The 17,524-nt window shown below is 37.3% G+C and overlaps 1 protein-coding gene and 1 long non-coding RNA gene across 2 annotated transcripts in view; one reads left to right on the top strand and one right to left on the bottom strand.

Annotated features, from left to right (window-relative positions):
- The window catches only part of DDX10 (DEAD-box helicase 10), a 275,859-nt gene that overhangs the window by 157,513 nt on the left and 100,822 nt on the right, over positions 1-17,524 (bottom strand). The window lies entirely within an intron of this gene.
- The window catches only part of LOC124902750 (uncharacterized), an 80,188-nt gene continuing 66,384 nt past the window's right edge, over positions 3,721-17,524 (top strand). Inside the window, exon 1 of the long non-coding RNA XR_007062881.1 lies at positions 3,721-17,010. This is a non-coding gene — a long non-coding RNA (uncharacterized LOC124902750). The remainder of the gene's footprint in view (positions 17,011-17,524) is intronic.

The following is a 17,524-nucleotide window of genomic DNA, read 5'->3' as shown; positions in this document are numbered from 1 at the left end:
ATCCTCTCCTCTATTCCTTTATCAACGCTCTTCAATATAGCTCTCCACCTCTACCACTTGAATAAAACCTTCTGGTAAAGATTACCAATTATTCCCTCATTGCTAAAACTAATGGCCCATTTTAAGTCTTCATATTTCTTTCTTGATTACTTTTAAGCTTCCATTAAAGCTAAATTCTACATTAGGCACTTGATGTATAAAGATGACTGAAACAGTCTCATATCTTTAAAAAGCTCACAGTCTAATAGAAGAAATAGTCACAGAAACAATTCTAATATTTTGGTAAGTTCAGTAATAGACACCTATACATGACAAAGAGAAATCATAGTGAGTGGGCACTAGGAAACGGATTCAAAGAGGCGATGAATAATCTGAGTTTTACAGGTTTAACAGGAAGGCATAACATTGTAAGCAAAGAAAGAAAAGATATTCCAGACAAAGCATATGTGGGTGAAGAATAGAGAAATGACCTAAACTCAGACCATGTCAGTGAGCACTGAGGGGAGTGGAAGGATTGCAGAGAAGTTAACCTGTCAAGCCTAACTTGATACCACTGACTACTCTTTCGTGATTTGGTCTCTCTGACTTTCCTCCTACCCTTCTTTCTTATTGGATTCTATGTATACTCCCAAGAGTCTTGCTCCCAATCCTCCTCACACTCTAAATACTCTTGATTTGATTGAAGCTTACTACTGGTTAGTCATTTGGTAGACACTGCAAACAGGGTCACTATAAAGGGAAGATAAAAAGGAACATATTCATTTGTGGAATGAATATGATAGTACCTGTGAGTAAAAAAAAAATATTTACTTCTCTCCACAGGATATGCCAAGCTAATTGCTAAGTATTACACAAATTAACATTAAAAAACAGCAGCTATAAGGATATGGTAGATGAGTATTGTCTAAGGTGCATTCCAACAGATTAATAAAATGTACTGAACAGAAGCATGCAGAAAGGGATCTCGGAGAAATGAGAACGCAGACTCTAAAGTGATGAAGAAATAGTCTAGAATTTAACTGCAGCTGAGGAAAACCTATCATAGGGATTCTAACCATACCCAGAGATATTCAAGGATGATAGCTAAATGAATTGATAGAAGAAATTGAGGCTGTGTTTTCTCTGAAGAATACAGGGTCCTCCATTTCCAAATTCAGTTCTGAAAATATTCTGCAGAACTGCCTGTGGGAACTACAATTCCTAAGCAGAAACCTAAGAAAAGAGATGGTTTCTAAGGTAACCAAGGCCTATACCATATACAGTCTGACATATCAAAGTCATCACCTGAGCTTGTCAGAAATTAATTGGAAGAACAGATACGTTACATCTGTGCCCTAGGGCTGCAAGCCTTTAAACAAATGAACACCATGTTCTGCATTAGCTGAATTTGCAAGTAGCCTCCTCAAGGAGAAAATTTACTTCTGTGGAGGTCAGAGGGGAGTATCCCAGAAGAATCTCTTCTGACGGCTGTGCTCTTAACTCCCAATGGCCAAAGGAAACAAAGTCCTTACTGATAATATTACAGAAGAAGCATTTTTAACACCTTTAAAGAGAAATTAAAAATAGAGCAATTCAGTTGTCCTATTCATTATCTCGCTAATTTTATTTCTACCAGAAAAAAAAAACAAAACCAAGACTGCAAATTGTTCATCCAAGAAAGGAAACAAACAATGGGGGTGAGAGGGCGATTCTTTGGTTTACAGTTTTAACTACACTTTTTAGAACCTCTGATAACCAAAGCTCAGCCTTTTAGTTTCTCTTTTAAAAAGGCATTTCAACTATTAATTGGTAGAACGATTTTGAAAAACAAAACAAAATCTCTTTCTTTTTACCTTCTGTGGTAAGAAGAGAGAAAGGAAGGGGTTGATAGGAATGGAGATAATCCCTCCATATAGTTCAGTATTATGAATACTATTTGGCATATACCACAAACAATTATGTTATGAAACAACTGTATAAGAGCTACCATTCAACCCAGCAATCCCATTACTGGGTTCATACCCAGAGGAAAATAGATCATTATACCAAAAAGACACATGCACTCACATGTTCAATGCCATGCTATTCATGAAAGCAAAGACATGAAATCAACCTAGGTCCCCATCAATGGTGTACTGGATAAAGAAAATATGGCACATATACACCATGAAATACAATACAACCATAAAAAAGAGTGAAATCATGTCCTTTACAGCAACATGGGTGGAGCTGGTGGCCATAAGCCTAAATGAATTAACACAGGAACAGAAAACCAAATGCCACATGTTCTCACTTATAAGTGGGAGCTAAACACTGAGCACACATGGACATAAATGGGAATAAGAGACACTGCAGACTACTAGAAAGGGGAAGGAGTGAAAAGGGTGTGGATTGAAAAACCACCTCTTGGGTACTATGCTCACTACAAGGTCCAATACATCCATGTAGCAATCATATACATGTATCCCCTGTATCTAAAATAAAAGCTGAAATTAAAAAAAGAAAAACTACTGCATAAAGTTTTTTCATTTAGTCCAATTCCACTAAACGAGCTTGTTTATAAGTGAATCAGCTGTCACCACATTGTAAGCTGCATTTAAAATTCATTCCTCTTGAGAATTTCATTTAATAGGCTTATGTAAATTAAGTACCTTTATTTACTATCCCATCCAAATAAAAAGAGCAAGTTGTCAATAACAGAAACATTTTCCAACAATATAACCTAAGCATCTACATTAATAAAGTGCTTGAGTAGAATACTGAGAAAGTATTATTTCAATGTGTTGTTATAAAATAGCATCCTTTGGGACACAAAGACAAGTATATTTATAGAGGATGTGGTACACTAGGAAAATCACAATCCAATTAGCACTGGATAAGGATCTCCAGTATAAAATTCTTAGAACTCTGGATTATTCAAATGACAGCTAAACTGGAAACAAACCAAGCAAAGATGTTTTCTGGCCTAAACAGACAGACTAGACCTATAGGGAAGCACAGAGAAGAAAAAAAGTCCAAAAACCACCCCTCTTAAAGTCATCTCAAAAGGATTTCCTTTAGATGTGCAAACTCAAGAGAAAAGAATAATTATATATCTTTTGGAGCTCTGACTCAACAACTGATATGTAAATATTAAACTCTGTTCCTTCCTCTTTAACTTCAGCCACCCTGTCCTGTGCTCTATTCATACTCATCTCTGTTTCATTAGTTATTCAGAAGATCTATTCAAAGAAAGCAACCCAACCATAAATTGGCATTTTATTTTTGGAAAGCAAGGTGGCAAAACACATCGATAGCTATGGTCCTTATCTTCATCTCCTCATCTACCATTAAATGTCCATCTCTTTGCCAATGCTTTCTAAAAACTTTATAGTTTAATCCTTGATCAACCATTAAGGATAGATTTTCTTATCCTTTCCCATAAGGAGAAAATGAGGCTAAAATAGGTTAACTTGCCACAGTCTCACGGACAGTTAAGTAGCATAACGGAAGGTAAAATACTAACTCATCTCACTCCAAAGGTTTTGTTATTTCCTCTAATCCCTTTAACCCAGGAATTTTGCTCCAGTTTACCTCCAAGTAAATAAAACAACAGAGCCAAAAAACAGACTCTCAAGGATCTCTCTGCAACTTTTTTGCAGCGAAATTCAGAAACAACCCAACAGCTAAGATTAGGAAAATGGTACTCCAAAACAATGAAATGTTATGCAACTAACATGAAGCCCATGTAAATAATTTTATTTATTTTTATTATTTTTTATTTTTTTATTTTACTTTAAGTTCTAGGGTACATGTGCACAACGTGCAGGTTTGTTACATATGTATACATGTGCCACGTTGGTGTGCTGCATTTACATTAGGTATATCTCCTAATGCTATCCTTCCCCCTCCCACCACCCCCGGCAGGCCCCAGTGTGTGATGTTCCCCACCCTGTGTCCATGTGTTCTCATTGTTCAATTCCCACCTATGAGTGAGAACATGTGGTGTTTGGTTTTCTGTCCTCGTGATATCTGCTCAGAATTATGGTTTCCGGCTTCATCCATGTCCCTGCAAAGGACATGAACTCATCCTTTTTTATGGCTGCATAGTATTCCATAGGGTATATGTGCCACATTTTCTTAATCCAGTTTATCATTGATAGACATTTGGGTTGGGTCCAAGTCTTTGCTATTGTGAATAGTGCTGCAATAAACATACGTGTGCATGTGTCTTTATAGCAGCATGATTTATAATCCTTTGGGTATATGCCCAGTAGTGGGATGGCTGGGTCAAATGGTATTTCTAGTTCTAGATCCCTGAGGAATCACCACACTGTCTTCCACAATGGTTGAACTAGTTTACAGTCCCACCAACAGTGTAAAAGGGTTCCTATTTCTCCACATTCTCTCCAGCACCTGTTGTTTCCTGACTTTTTAATGATTGCCATTCTAACTGGTGTGAGATGGTATCCCATTGTGGTTTTGATTTGCATTTCTCTGATGGCCAGTGATGATGAGCATTTTTTCATGTGTCTGTTGGCTGCATAAATGTCTTCTTTTGAGAAGTGTCTGTTCATATCCTTTGCCCATTTTTTGATGGGGTTGACTTTTTCTTGTAAATTTGAGTTCTTTGTAGATTCTGGATATTAGCCCTTTGTCAGATGGGTAGATTGTAAAAACTTTCTCCCATTCTGTAGGTTGCCTGTTCACTCTGATGGTAGTTTATTTTGCTATGCAGAAGCTCTTTAGTTTAATTAGATCCCATTTGTCAATTTTGGCATTTGTTGCCATTGCTTTTGGTGTTTTAGTCATGAAGTCCTTGCCCATGCCTATGGCCTGAACAGTATTGCCTAGGTTTTCTTCTAGGGTTTTTATGGTTTTAGGTCTAATATTTAAGTCTTTAATCCATCTTGAATTAATTTTTGTATAAGGTGTAAGGAAGGGATCCAGTTTCAGCTTTCTACATATGGCTAGCCAGTTTTCCCAGCACCATTTATTAAATAGAGAATCCTTTCCCCATTGCTTGTTTTTGTCAGGTTTGTCAAAGATCAGATGGTTGTAGATGTGTGGTATTATTTCCAAGGGCTCTGTTCTGTTCCATTGGTCTATATCTCTGTTTTGGTACCAGTACCATGCTGTTTTGGTTACTGTAGCCTTGTAGTATAGTTTGAAGTCAGGTAGCGTGATGCCTCCAGCTTTGTTCTTTTGGCTTAGGATTGTCTTGGCAATGCAGGCTCTTTTTTGGTTCCATATGAACTTTAAAGTAGTTTTTTCCAATTCTGTGAAGAAAGTCATTGGAGCTTGATGGGGATGGCACTGAATCTATAAATTACCTTGGGCAGTATGGCCATCTTCACAATATTGACTCTTCCTATCCATGAGCATGCAATGTTCTTCCATGTGTTTGTGTCCTCTTTTATTTTGCTGAGCAGTGGTTTGTAGTTCTCCTTGAAGAGGTCCTTCGCATCCCTTGTAAGTTGGATTCCTAGGTATTTTATTCTCTTTGAAGCAATTATGAATGGGAGTTCACTCATGATTTGGCTCTCTGTTTGTCTGTTATTGGTGTATAGGAATGCTTGTGATTTTTGCACACTGATTTTGTATCCTGACACTTTCCTGAAGTTGCTTATCAGCTTAAGGAGATTTTGGGCTGAGACGATGAGGTTTTCTAAACATACAATCATGTCATCCGCAAACAGGGACAATTTGACTTCCTCCTTTCCTAACTGAATACCCTTTATTTCTTTCTCTTGCCTGATTGCCCTGGCCAGAACTTCCAACACTATGTTGAATAGGAGTGGTGTAAATAATTTTAAAGTGAAAAAGGAACCCTTGGCCAGACATGGTGGCTCACACCTGTAATCCCAGCACTTCAGGAGGCTGAAGTGGGTGGATCACCTGAAGTCAGGAGTTCGAGACCAGCCTGGCCAACATGGTGAAACCCCTTCTCTACTAAAAACACAAAACTTATCCAGATGCAGTGGCACGCGCCTGTAATCCCAGCTACTCGGGAAGCTGGGATTCGCTTGAATCCAGGAGGCAGAGGTTGCAGTGAGCTGAGATGGTGCCACTGCACTCCAGCCTGAGTGACAGAGCAAGACTCTATCTCAAAAGAAAAGAAAAAGAAAGAAAGAAAGAGAAAAGAAAAAGAAAAAAGAACCCTCAAATTACGTGGAGACTGAGTTCTAGCTCCAGTAATGGCAGGATAATTTATATCAAACATTCTCATAGCAACAATTACAAATCCAACAAAGAATATATAAATCTACTATTTGAAGGACTACAGAATAAGCAAAATCAGGCAGAAACTGAAGGACAGCCTTAGGAAAGAAGGAAATCATGCTGCAGGAAATCCCTGTTGTGTTAGTTTTCTGTTGCTGCATAACAAATTACCACAAACCTGGCCACTTAATATCCACTTATTCACTCACAATTCCATAAGTCAGAAAGCTGGCACAGCATGGCCAAGTTCTGTGCTCAGGGTTATCACAAGTCTGAAATCAAAATGTCAGCTGGGCCAAGTCCCCACCTGGAAGCTCTGGAGAAAACTTGACTTCCAAGCTCATTCAGGTTGTTGGCAAAATTTACTTCCTTTCCGGTTGTAGGACTGAAGTCCCCATTTTCTTGCTGGCTGTCAGCCAGGGACTTCTCTCAGTTTCTTTAGACCACCTTCTCACAAAGTCTCCATCTATAACCCAGCAACAACATGCCAAATCTTCCTTATGCCTCAAATTTGAGCTCCTCTTCTGCCACCAGCCACAGAAAACCCTCGGAGTTTTTAAAGGATCTCACGTGAGTATTGGGCCCACCAAAATAATCCCCCATCTTAATGTCAACTAATAATTTAACATACTCATGGGAATAATATTATATTTATTGGTGCCAAAGATTAGGATATGGAATCTCGAGGGGCCGTTCTTGGAATTCTATGTACTGTACCCACTTTTTCCCTGAGGTCACTGCCATTCTACTTGGCTTGGACTGCTAGCACTGAAACAGAAAGCCACTATCTATTAGTCTAAGGAGTCAGAACATGCACCACAGGCCCAGAAAATCTAGAAATTAAGAATCCCAAAACAGAGTGAGCCACAGAAAGGGTACCTCAGATATCTGTATAATCCTCCACAAATTCTTGGCTGACAGCTGAAATGCACGTGCAAGTGGCAAAACTCCAAGGAGCTCAGATAGAAATAACAGTTCGAAGAAAGAACAGAAAAGAGATTTTAGCTGACCCTCGCTGAAAGGAAGACAAAGTTTGGAGTCTGAGTTCCACCAAATTAGAAGAGCTTTGATGGCACTTTGGATTTTCCACTGAAATCCCAGAAAGGTTCCAGGACTGAAGAGTGTTTCTCAAAACTAAGGGTGAAACCACAACAGATATGGAAATAACCCAAATGTCCATATACAAGTGAACAGCTAAACATATTGCTGTATATTCAAACAACAAGATACAACACAGCATCAAAAATGAAGTACCTACTGATACGTCCAACATAATGAATTTTTTAAACACTGTGTTGAACTAAAAAAACCACACATAAAAATAATACATGCTGTACGATTATACGAAGTTATTAAACAGGCAAAGCTAAGCCATGGTAAATGAAATAATAGTCACGTAGAAGGACATGGGGCTGGAAAGGGCACAGGGTCTTGCTTAAAATATGTGGCTATATTGCATGTAAAGTATGCCTCAAAATGTAAAAAAGAAAAATTTAACTTATTGTACTAAAACTAAAAATATGCAGATTTATATTGAGAAAGTAACAAAAACAAAAATAGAGAATAAGTATCTGAAGTCACATTTTTTAATATCATAGCTATATCTAAATTTTAAATAGTATTTAGGAAGCAAAGTGAGAAAGTCAATGCATTCCCTGTTCTCACATGCTACCTGAGCTAACCAGCATAGTTAGGCATTGCTTTGAGATGATGCAATTAATCAAACAGACACATAGGTCTCCATAACTTGACTCAGATACCAAGGCTTAGCATAAATTCTTCCTTTCCACTCTTTTCAGTTAGCTCATCACCAACTCCCAAATTGAACAGACGGGTATATCACTCATTTTTTTTTAATACATTCACTCAATTGTCAAATAACTGTGTGTTTCCTTGTGAAGGTCAAAGTCTTCATAGATCTTTCTGTCAATGTAAACCTGACACATTTAAAAAGTCAGTATGCAGAGCAAAATCTATTTGAGATTAACATTTTTTCAATTCAATTTAATTTCCCATGACAAGTCATCCTGATATTCACAATGTTTCCTTCATTTCACTAATGAGCTAAAGACAGCTTTCACATTTATTTCACTTCTTTCAGAATAGGATGCATTTGGCAATACCAACCATTTAAATAAGCAAATGTATAATTCTGAATAGGTTTTGAAAACGTTTCACCGTGGTCTCTGTCACTCATAGACCTAGTTGGTAGTGTTTCCTTTCAACAAGTGCACAGACTGGTAAGAAAAGTTGTTACAAATTACCAAAGGTCAATATGCTGCCGGCCACCCAGTCATATAAATTGATATGTCTTCTTGTTCCAGCAAGTTAGAAGCTCAGTAAGGGCAGAGACAGGAATCTCTTAACAATGAGCAGTATGTGATTTTCACTGGAGAGGAGAGAGGCTGCATGTGTGCCCAAATCCATCCTCAAAGCATACCGGAGAACGGTATGAAACAGCATATTTAACAGCCTATATTTCTCCATCATACAAACTATAAAAAATACAGCTGAAAAGTCTTCTTGGCTGGAGAAAACACAGAATACAGCATAAGAAAGACTATAGGGTTAAAAGGTTTTTATCCCTTTTAACCCTATAGTTTGGAGGGGATAAAAGAAATGCCAAACAATGTTCTCTAACGTAATCAAGTACAGATTCCAGGAATTGCAAGGAAAAAAAAACAATACCTCAGGTATGTTTCAAAACCAAGGGCTAAATCAAGGCAGATATTTCCAGCTAAAAATAATGTATTGAGTATACCCAACTCTGCTTCCTCCAGCAAGCGATAAATTTTAAAACATGCAAGAAATAATTTAAGCATAAGCCTCCAAGGACAAAAAGATAACAGCAAACAGATGTTAACAAAATGGTATACTGTGTTAAAAGGACGAACAATGGTAAACAACTCAGCAGTGTAAAGAAAATTGCAACCTAAGTGCCTGCAAAGGGCAATGCCCACAAGATGCCAGCCTAGTCACACGGCCAATGAACAAATGATTCTCACTTCCCAAGGTACAATAAACCAAGGCAAAACGTATTTCCTTATTATATACAGAATACAGCAACAATTCAGTTATTCCACATTTCCTACTGGTAACAAGTAAGACAACAAGCCTGATTTCTCTTTCTGGTTGTCCACTGCTTACACAGTACTAGCTTAGGAATAATTTGCTTTTTTTGTTGAAGTTTGTCATAAGAGCACTTTGCTCTAGTCACCAAGTGATTTCATGTATGCAGCCTTGAAGCTATGACACACTCTCTAGCTCACCATTCTTTGTGTCTCTGGGAACCAGTACTTCCTATCTCATCTAATACAAGCAAGACATCTTCTTTTATGCTTCTCTGGGCCCGATATTCACCCTCCTACTAGCAGTTCAAGGGCTGGGTCTCCCTTCTCAGCACTATGGTACACTCCAAAGCAATTAAATGAGTTTTTTTAAAACATTAGTAAGTTTTATGTTCCTTTTTATAGGGAACTCTAAGATGCAAATTAAATGCCCTTACTATATTTTGTCCTCAATTTGGCTGTAAATAGACTAATGCCAACCCTTAAGTATCTGTGGAAATCAATATTTATCAATACAGTTGTGCAATGATAGAATCAGATTCCAGGAAGAGCTGACAACTAGATAACTAAGTGAAAAGTGCATTTATGCATTTGAGTATGTGTGCATGTGCACACATCTGTACACACAGTTGGAAGCAGAAAAGGGAGAGAAAAGGCTCATGGATCTCCTAGACATCATTTGGTAGAAGAATAGAACAATAAATAAAAAAATTTATTATTTCCAAGAGAGAACCATGGCAGTTAAAGAACACAGGTAGATAGGGAGACTTCACCAAAAGACAAGACATCAACAGTAAGTGCAGCTACCTTGACAGGTAAATCTCTAAAATCAATAGCCAATTGTCTAAGTAAGCAGAAAACAAAGTTAGGGTTGAGTTTGCTTTCTGTCACTTAAAAGATTTACTCTTACATGTAGATTTCACTCAAATGATGAGAGAAACCATTCTTACTCCTCACTTATGCCAGTATCGTAAGTTCATAACAATAAGTAACAAGCTCTAATTCAACAAATATCATATGTATTAATAAAAGGAACTCTGCTACATTTTATATCTGAGTTGGCAGTGAGAAAGTAGTTACTATATCCTGTACTCCAGAGTCTCAAAGAAGAAAGTTCTTCACTTTCTATTCAGGTTCTTCAAATACCCTTTCCAGAAGTCTGCATGGTCAAAACTATGTTCACAATAATACCGAAATTTTACCATACTGACATTTTCAGTTATGATACAAAAGCAATCGTGGGTTAAACTACTGGTACCTTACCAACAATGCCCAACCTTTTTGGCACGAGGGACTATTCTTGTGGAAGACAATTTTTCCACTGACAGGGGATGGTCAGATTCTCATAAGGATGTGCAACCTAGATCCCTCACATGTGCAGTTCACAATAGGGATCGAGCGCCTATGAGAATCTAATGCCGCTGCTGATATGACAAGAGACGGAGCTCAGGCGGTAATGCCCGCTCACCCGCCTGGCCGCTCACCTTCTGCTGTGTGGCCTGGTTCCTAACAGGCCACAGACCGGTAGGCTGCAAATTCCCACAAACTTCATGGCCTTTCGACGGCATTTATTTTAAGTTCTAGAAGCCAGAAGCCCAAAATCCAAGTGTTGCTAACAAAGCCACAGTCCTTGCCAATGGCTACTAGGGGAGAACCAATTCTTTCCCTCTTTCAGCTTTTGGTGGCTCCAGACATTCCTTGGTTTGTAGCCACATCACTTCAATCTCTGCCACCATGATCACACTGCCTCCTCCTCTTCTTCTGCGTCTTCTCCCCTTCTGTCTCTGTCTTCCCTGTGTGTCTCTCTCCCATCATGACACTTGTCATTAGGTTTAGAGCCTGCCTAATCTAATCCAAAATTATCTCCTTATCTCAAGATTTTTAATTATATCTGCAATGACCCTTTTTCCAATTAAGGTAATATTCGTAGGTTGTGATAATTAGGTCATGGGTGTATCTCTTGCAGGAGACATTATTCATCTCACGACTAGTCTTTTTAATATTTTGTGTGACCACGTGACAACTACGCATAAAGCACTTCTGCTGCATAGTGAAGTTTAATAGTTACCTTGAGGAAAAACACTTGTGAGGTTGAGTCACAAGATCAACTACAACCTTTTTGCATGGGCACCATCTTTACATGCAAGAACAATGGACAAACTACAAGCTAAAAACAGCCTAAAAGCTACAAAACCAGTACCGTTAGCAGAGCCCTGATGTTGCTAAGACCTGACCCTCACAGCAAAGACTTGATGTCCTCCTGTTAGAAGAACATCAACATCAGACAAGACTACTGACCATGATGGATCAAGACAAAAACAAGCAAACATATCAACATTGTCCAAAAAACAAAAATAACCAAATATCTACCTTTCCTTGCTAACAAGAACGACTACAACTTCTTTACCAATTAAAGCTATAGCCTCCATTTATTCCTTTCTCCTGAAATACAACACTCATTTAGATAAACAATAAGAGACCATCCCACTGACCCCACAACATCTAATCCAGAACCAAGTCTCCTTCTCATAACCCTCCATCAAGTTAAAAAGCTTCTGCACAGTGAGACTGAGGCGGACGGATCACGAGGTCAGGAGATCGAGACCATCCTGGCTAACACAGTGAAACCCTGTCTCTATTAAAGATACAAAAAAATTAGCTGGACGTGGTGGCAGGCGCCTGTAGTCCCAGCTACTTGGGAGGCTGACGCAGGAGAATGGCGTGGCTTTCCATGAGTCGAGATCATGCCACTGCACTCCAGCCTGGGTGACAGAGTGAGACTCCATCTCAAAAAAAAGAAAAAAAGAAAAAAAAGAAAAAACTTCTGCACAGCAAAGGAAACAATCAATAAAGTAAAGAGACACCCCCACAGAATGAGAGAAAATATTGGCAAACTACCCATCTGACAAAGGATTAATAACCAGAATATAGACGGAGCTGAAAGAACTCTATAGGAAAAAAATCTAATAATCTGATCAAAATATGAGCAAAAGAGTTGAATAGATATTTCTCAAAAGAAGACATTCAAATGGCAAACAGGCATATGAAAAGGTGCTCAACATCACTAATCATCAGAGAAATACAAATCAAAACTACAATGAGGTTATCATCTCACCCCAGTTAAAATGGCTTTTATCCAAACAACAGGCAATAACAAATGCTGGTGAGGACGTGGAGAAAAGGGAACCCTCATACACTGTTGGTGGGAATGTAAATTAGCACAACCACTCTGGACAACACTTTGGAAACTCCACAAAAAAAAACTAAAAACAGAGCTACCATATGATCCAGCAATCCCACTGTTGGGTATATACCCCAAGGAAAGGAAATATATCAGAGACATCTGCACTCCCAATGTTTGTTGCAACACTGGAAGCAACCTAAGTGTCCATCAACAGATGAATGGATTAAAAAAAAAAATGAGGTACATATGCACAATGGAGTACTAGTGAACCATAAAAAAGAATGAGATCCAGTCATTTGCCACAACATGGATGGAACTGGAAGAACATTATGTTAAGTGAAATAAGCCAGGCACAGAAAGACAAACATTTCATATTCTCACTTATTAGTAGGATCTAAAAATCAAAACAATTGAACTCATGGACAGAGAGAGTAGAAGGATGGTTACCAGAGGTTGGGAAGGGTAGTGGGGGTTGGTGCAGGGGGGAGGGGGGAGGGGGGATGGTTAATGAGTACAAAAAAAAAGTGGTTAGAAAGAATGAATAAGACCTACTATTTGATAGCATAATAGTACAAAAAAAAAGTGGTTAGAAAGAATGAATAAGACCTACTATTTGATAGCATAATAGGGTGACTATAGTGAATAGTAATTGTTTATTTTTAGATAACTTAAAGAACATAATCAAATTGTCTGTAACTCAAAGGATAAATAAATGCTTCAGGGGCTAGATAGCCCATTCTCCATAATGTGTTAAATTCACATTACATGCCTGTATCAAAACATCTCATGTACCCCACAAATATATGCACCTACGTACCCACAAAAATTAAAATGAATGAATGAATAAATAAATAAAAACACTCCTCCTTTTCCCACTACCAATCTGTGTGAGGCCAGATTTTCTTAACACCTTTCAAAGAAACATGTTGCAACAGATTGAACTCTGAAGCTTTTATTAGAATCCTGCTGTATTCAACTCTTCAGCCAGATGTTAAAGAGATTTGCAAAACTAATGCTGTCACTTTCTCACTAAATTTTTTTTATTTTGAGACAGTTATTTTTCATTAACTATTTTATGTTAGCATGTTATGAGTTTATTATTTTAAATTAACAAGTATTGAATAAATATCTCAGTGTTAATGTCTGATACAGTAAATATCAATAGGTATAACCCACAGAAACAAAAGCTCTTTGGAGCCCCTCAATAATTTGAGAGTTTACAGGGTTATTGAGACTAAAAAGAGTAAGCAAATATAAAATAGGACCTGGAGGGACATGTTTTCAAACTAGACCACACAAAATTCCCACGGTGGGAAGCAACCTAAGGATGAGTTCATAATACAAAATTATACAAAAAAATGGAAACAACCTATCATTGTGAAAATCAACACACACAAAACACAAGAGTTTATATTTCCAAGACATTTAGATAATAGAATTATGTGACGGATACTACAAAATAACTAAGTTTAACATTTACTAAAGATATAAGAGAATAAATCAACATCACAAAAATGAGATACTACTTTTTTTTAAGAGCAGATTAGAAAAAGAACCAAATATAACTTATTGCAATGAAAAATGGGCAGTGAAATTTAAACACCAATGCTTGGGTTAAAACCATAAATCAGATACAGAAAAAGACATCAGAGATGAACTAGAAGATGAATCTGAGCAATTAAACAGAAGAAAGCACAGATAAAGGAATAAAAATATGAAAAAGAGATTATACAACATCAACAAAATCAAAGGAAACATATCAAGTTGAAGTCGTGAAGGGAAAAAAAAAAAACTTGATAATTTTCCAGTGCTGATGAAAGAGATGAATCCTCAGACACAGGAAATATGAATCCCAATCAGTGACTATGTATACAAAATTTTAAATGCAATCAGAAATTCAAATTACTTCAGGAGAATGACAATTAGACTAGTCCAAGCTATAGCACATGCCAGAAGACAATGGGATAATACCTTCAGATTAACAAAGATAACTGTCATACCCAATCAACATTTCAGAGCAAAACAAAAACATTTTCAGACAGACAAAACAAAAACATTTTCAGACAGACAAAACAAAAACAAAACATACTCTCACTGAAATAACTACTAAAATATGGTATTTTTAAATACCATATTAAAAATCAAAATGCCATTTTTAAAACGGGGCAAAAAAAAAGACGAGGAAATAGGATATCCGAGGAAGAGGATAACAACTAATGTTGGAAGTACTTTAAAAAATAAAACCAAAATACGGAATGTAGTAACATTTAAATTGGAAAAGTGAATAGTGTTCCAAGGGTCTTAAATTGTACATGAGGTAGAAATATTGCTTAATCTTAGACTTAGTTACCTCAAGTATGCTCTTATGACATCAAAGATAACCACAAAATTTGGATGCTTAAGATAACCAGGCCGCAAGACAAATTAAAATATGCTGCAATATGCAGAAACCCAATAAATAAGTCAGGATACTGATACAAACTCTTCTGTTTCACCAACTCCCACTCTTCCTCAGGACACTTCTCATATTGTATATAATAACAAACGTCCACTTGACATGACACAACAGTGCCAGTGTTAACTCAACTAATAAACAAGAGAAAACCTTTTCTCCTCTCAAGATAAATGTATAGATAGAAAAATCTAATTCATTCTTTCATCCCAAAGGAACATCCTGCTCCTCACTTTGGAAACCACAGATACACAGCTGACCCTTGAACAACACAGGAATTAGGGGCGCTGACTCTCCCCTCACTTCCCACCACCCCAGGCAGGCAGTCAAAAATCCACATGTAACTTTTGACTCTCCAAAAACTTAACCACTAATAGCCTACTGTTGACTGGAAGTCTTATCAATAACATAAACTGTTGATTAACACATATTTTGTTACATGTATTATATATCACAGTCTTACAATAAAGTAAGCTAGAGAAAAGAAAATGTTATTAAGAAAGTCATATGGAAGAGAAAATATACTTACTATTCATCAAGTGGAAGTGGATCATTATAAAGGTCTTCATCCTGGTTGTCTTCACACTGAGTAGGCTGAACAGAAGGAAGAAGAAGGGCAGGTCTTACTGTCTCAGGGTAGCAGAGGCAGAAGAAGTGGAGGAGGTGCAAAGGGAGGCAGGAGAGGCAGGCACACTTGGGGTTACTTTTATTGAAAAACAAAATCCACATTTAAGTGGACTCTCACAGTTCAAACCTATGTTATTCAAGAGTCAACTGTATATGTCCAGGATTATATAGGCAGTTCCACACATAAAACAACTCTTAATGTACTAAATCATGAGTTAATTCAGCAAGGAAAAAGCTAAGTAAAGGGTATTCATAACAGCATAAGTAAAGGACAAGGGATAAAATAGCAGAATCTAAGTAGGAAAACTAAAAAGTTTGAAATTTGCAGTTGTGAACTGCTAGGGCATAAAGCACATCTCTCTGGGATTGACTACTGAAAACTAAGAGGAGACAGCCTTTATCCCCACTGTAGGTGCTAATGCTGCCAGTAGATCTCAGTGAAGGCAGTCTAATCTTTTCCACCTTCCTCTCTTCATAGTAATCAACGTCTTATACTCACCACATGTTATCAAGTCTACGATGCCTGAATACCTTTATTGGAATTGGAAAGGAGACAGGGTTTTATTGTTTGGTCCCAGAGGAACATGAAATCTGACTTCTACTTCATTGGAGAAAATGAATTTCCTTAGCACAGATGCACTTTTATACTGCCTTTTCTCCAAAAGCATCTCAGTATAAAACAAGTAATCCCAATGCTGACTTCCAATAATCAGTAAGATAAGTCCAGAGATGAATTGTTTACTGGCAGCTGAAATCATATGAAGATGCTAAAGACAATTGGCGATATGTATGATGAGGTCCACATCACTTAGTGCCTACTACTGCTTTTTCTTTTGACTCTCCAATATAAGAGCTGAAACAGCTGGTACCCCAAAAGTGGAAGAGTCCCTTGCCCCAACAACCACTTAAAAGACATCAATTAGCATCTATTACGTAATAAAAGGGTTCTCAAAATAATTAAGTTTTCCATACTTTTAAAGCCAACCTGAAAGCTTTTAACCAACAAGGCACCTAAAGTCCTGATGGCTGCACACCAGTCTAGCCAGTTAATTACTCTACCAACGATGTGTAATGGTACTCAGTTACTCATTCACTCAGTCAGTCCTTCAAATACTCAAGGCGTGTTAACTATGTACCAGGCACTGGTGCAGGAAATACTGTGATGAAATAGATGACCCTTCCTAATATGACATAGCACTTCCCCGGCTTATTAAAATTTAATCTCAAAAACCACAACATTCATTAAACTACAATTTCCTCCATATCGTTTTGTTAAAAATTTTATGAACCACAAATAAAACTCACTCCCAAGTTATTACAATACAAGTTTACTCCAAATCTAAATAGTAACAATGAGAAAACAAACACGTCACATAGTGTGTGTTCTATATATGTTTAATAGTCATTATGATAATATGAGATCTAAAGAATACAGCATTTACAATGGTTTTCAAGCAAGAGTCTCCAAAGACACCAGGGCAAAGAGTTTAAATACATAGGTATGTACTTGAGTGAAGTAAAGAATTTTAAAAATCCTGCGCTACCTTATTCTCATGATGACAATTAAGACAGAAACAAAGTTACAGGTAAGACATTACAAAGGAAGAACTGGGAATACGTAACAGCGGATACGATACAAAATGAATTGTATAACCACATGTTAATTTACTTCTTCCTAAGGAAAACTGCTGGATTCTGTGAGGGATATAAAAGCAAACAAAAAAATTATGCTTTCATTAGGTTATCACAGTGGAGGAGAAAGAATACAAAAACAAAAACAAAGGAAAATATAATCAGAACTATAAATGTAGAGGCCTGTGGATAATATGGGAAATCTACCCAAATCAAAATCATTTTTAAAAGTAAAACACTATCAGTAACATTTACGTAAGGCTTTGCAGCAATTAGGAATGCAACTGTGGAGAACCTTGGTCATTCAATTTTGTAGGCACCTATGATTCAATACTTCAAATGAATGAGAAGCTACTTAAATTTCCTTAAAATGTGTCCAAA

Source organism: Homo sapiens, chromosome 11 (assembly GCF_000001405.40).
Source record: "Homo sapiens chromosome 11, GRCh38.p14 Primary Assembly".
Taxonomy (NCBI): Eukaryota; Metazoa; Chordata; class Mammalia; order Primates; family Hominidae; genus Homo; species Homo sapiens.
This window is presented reverse-complemented; position numbering and strand designations above follow the sequence as displayed.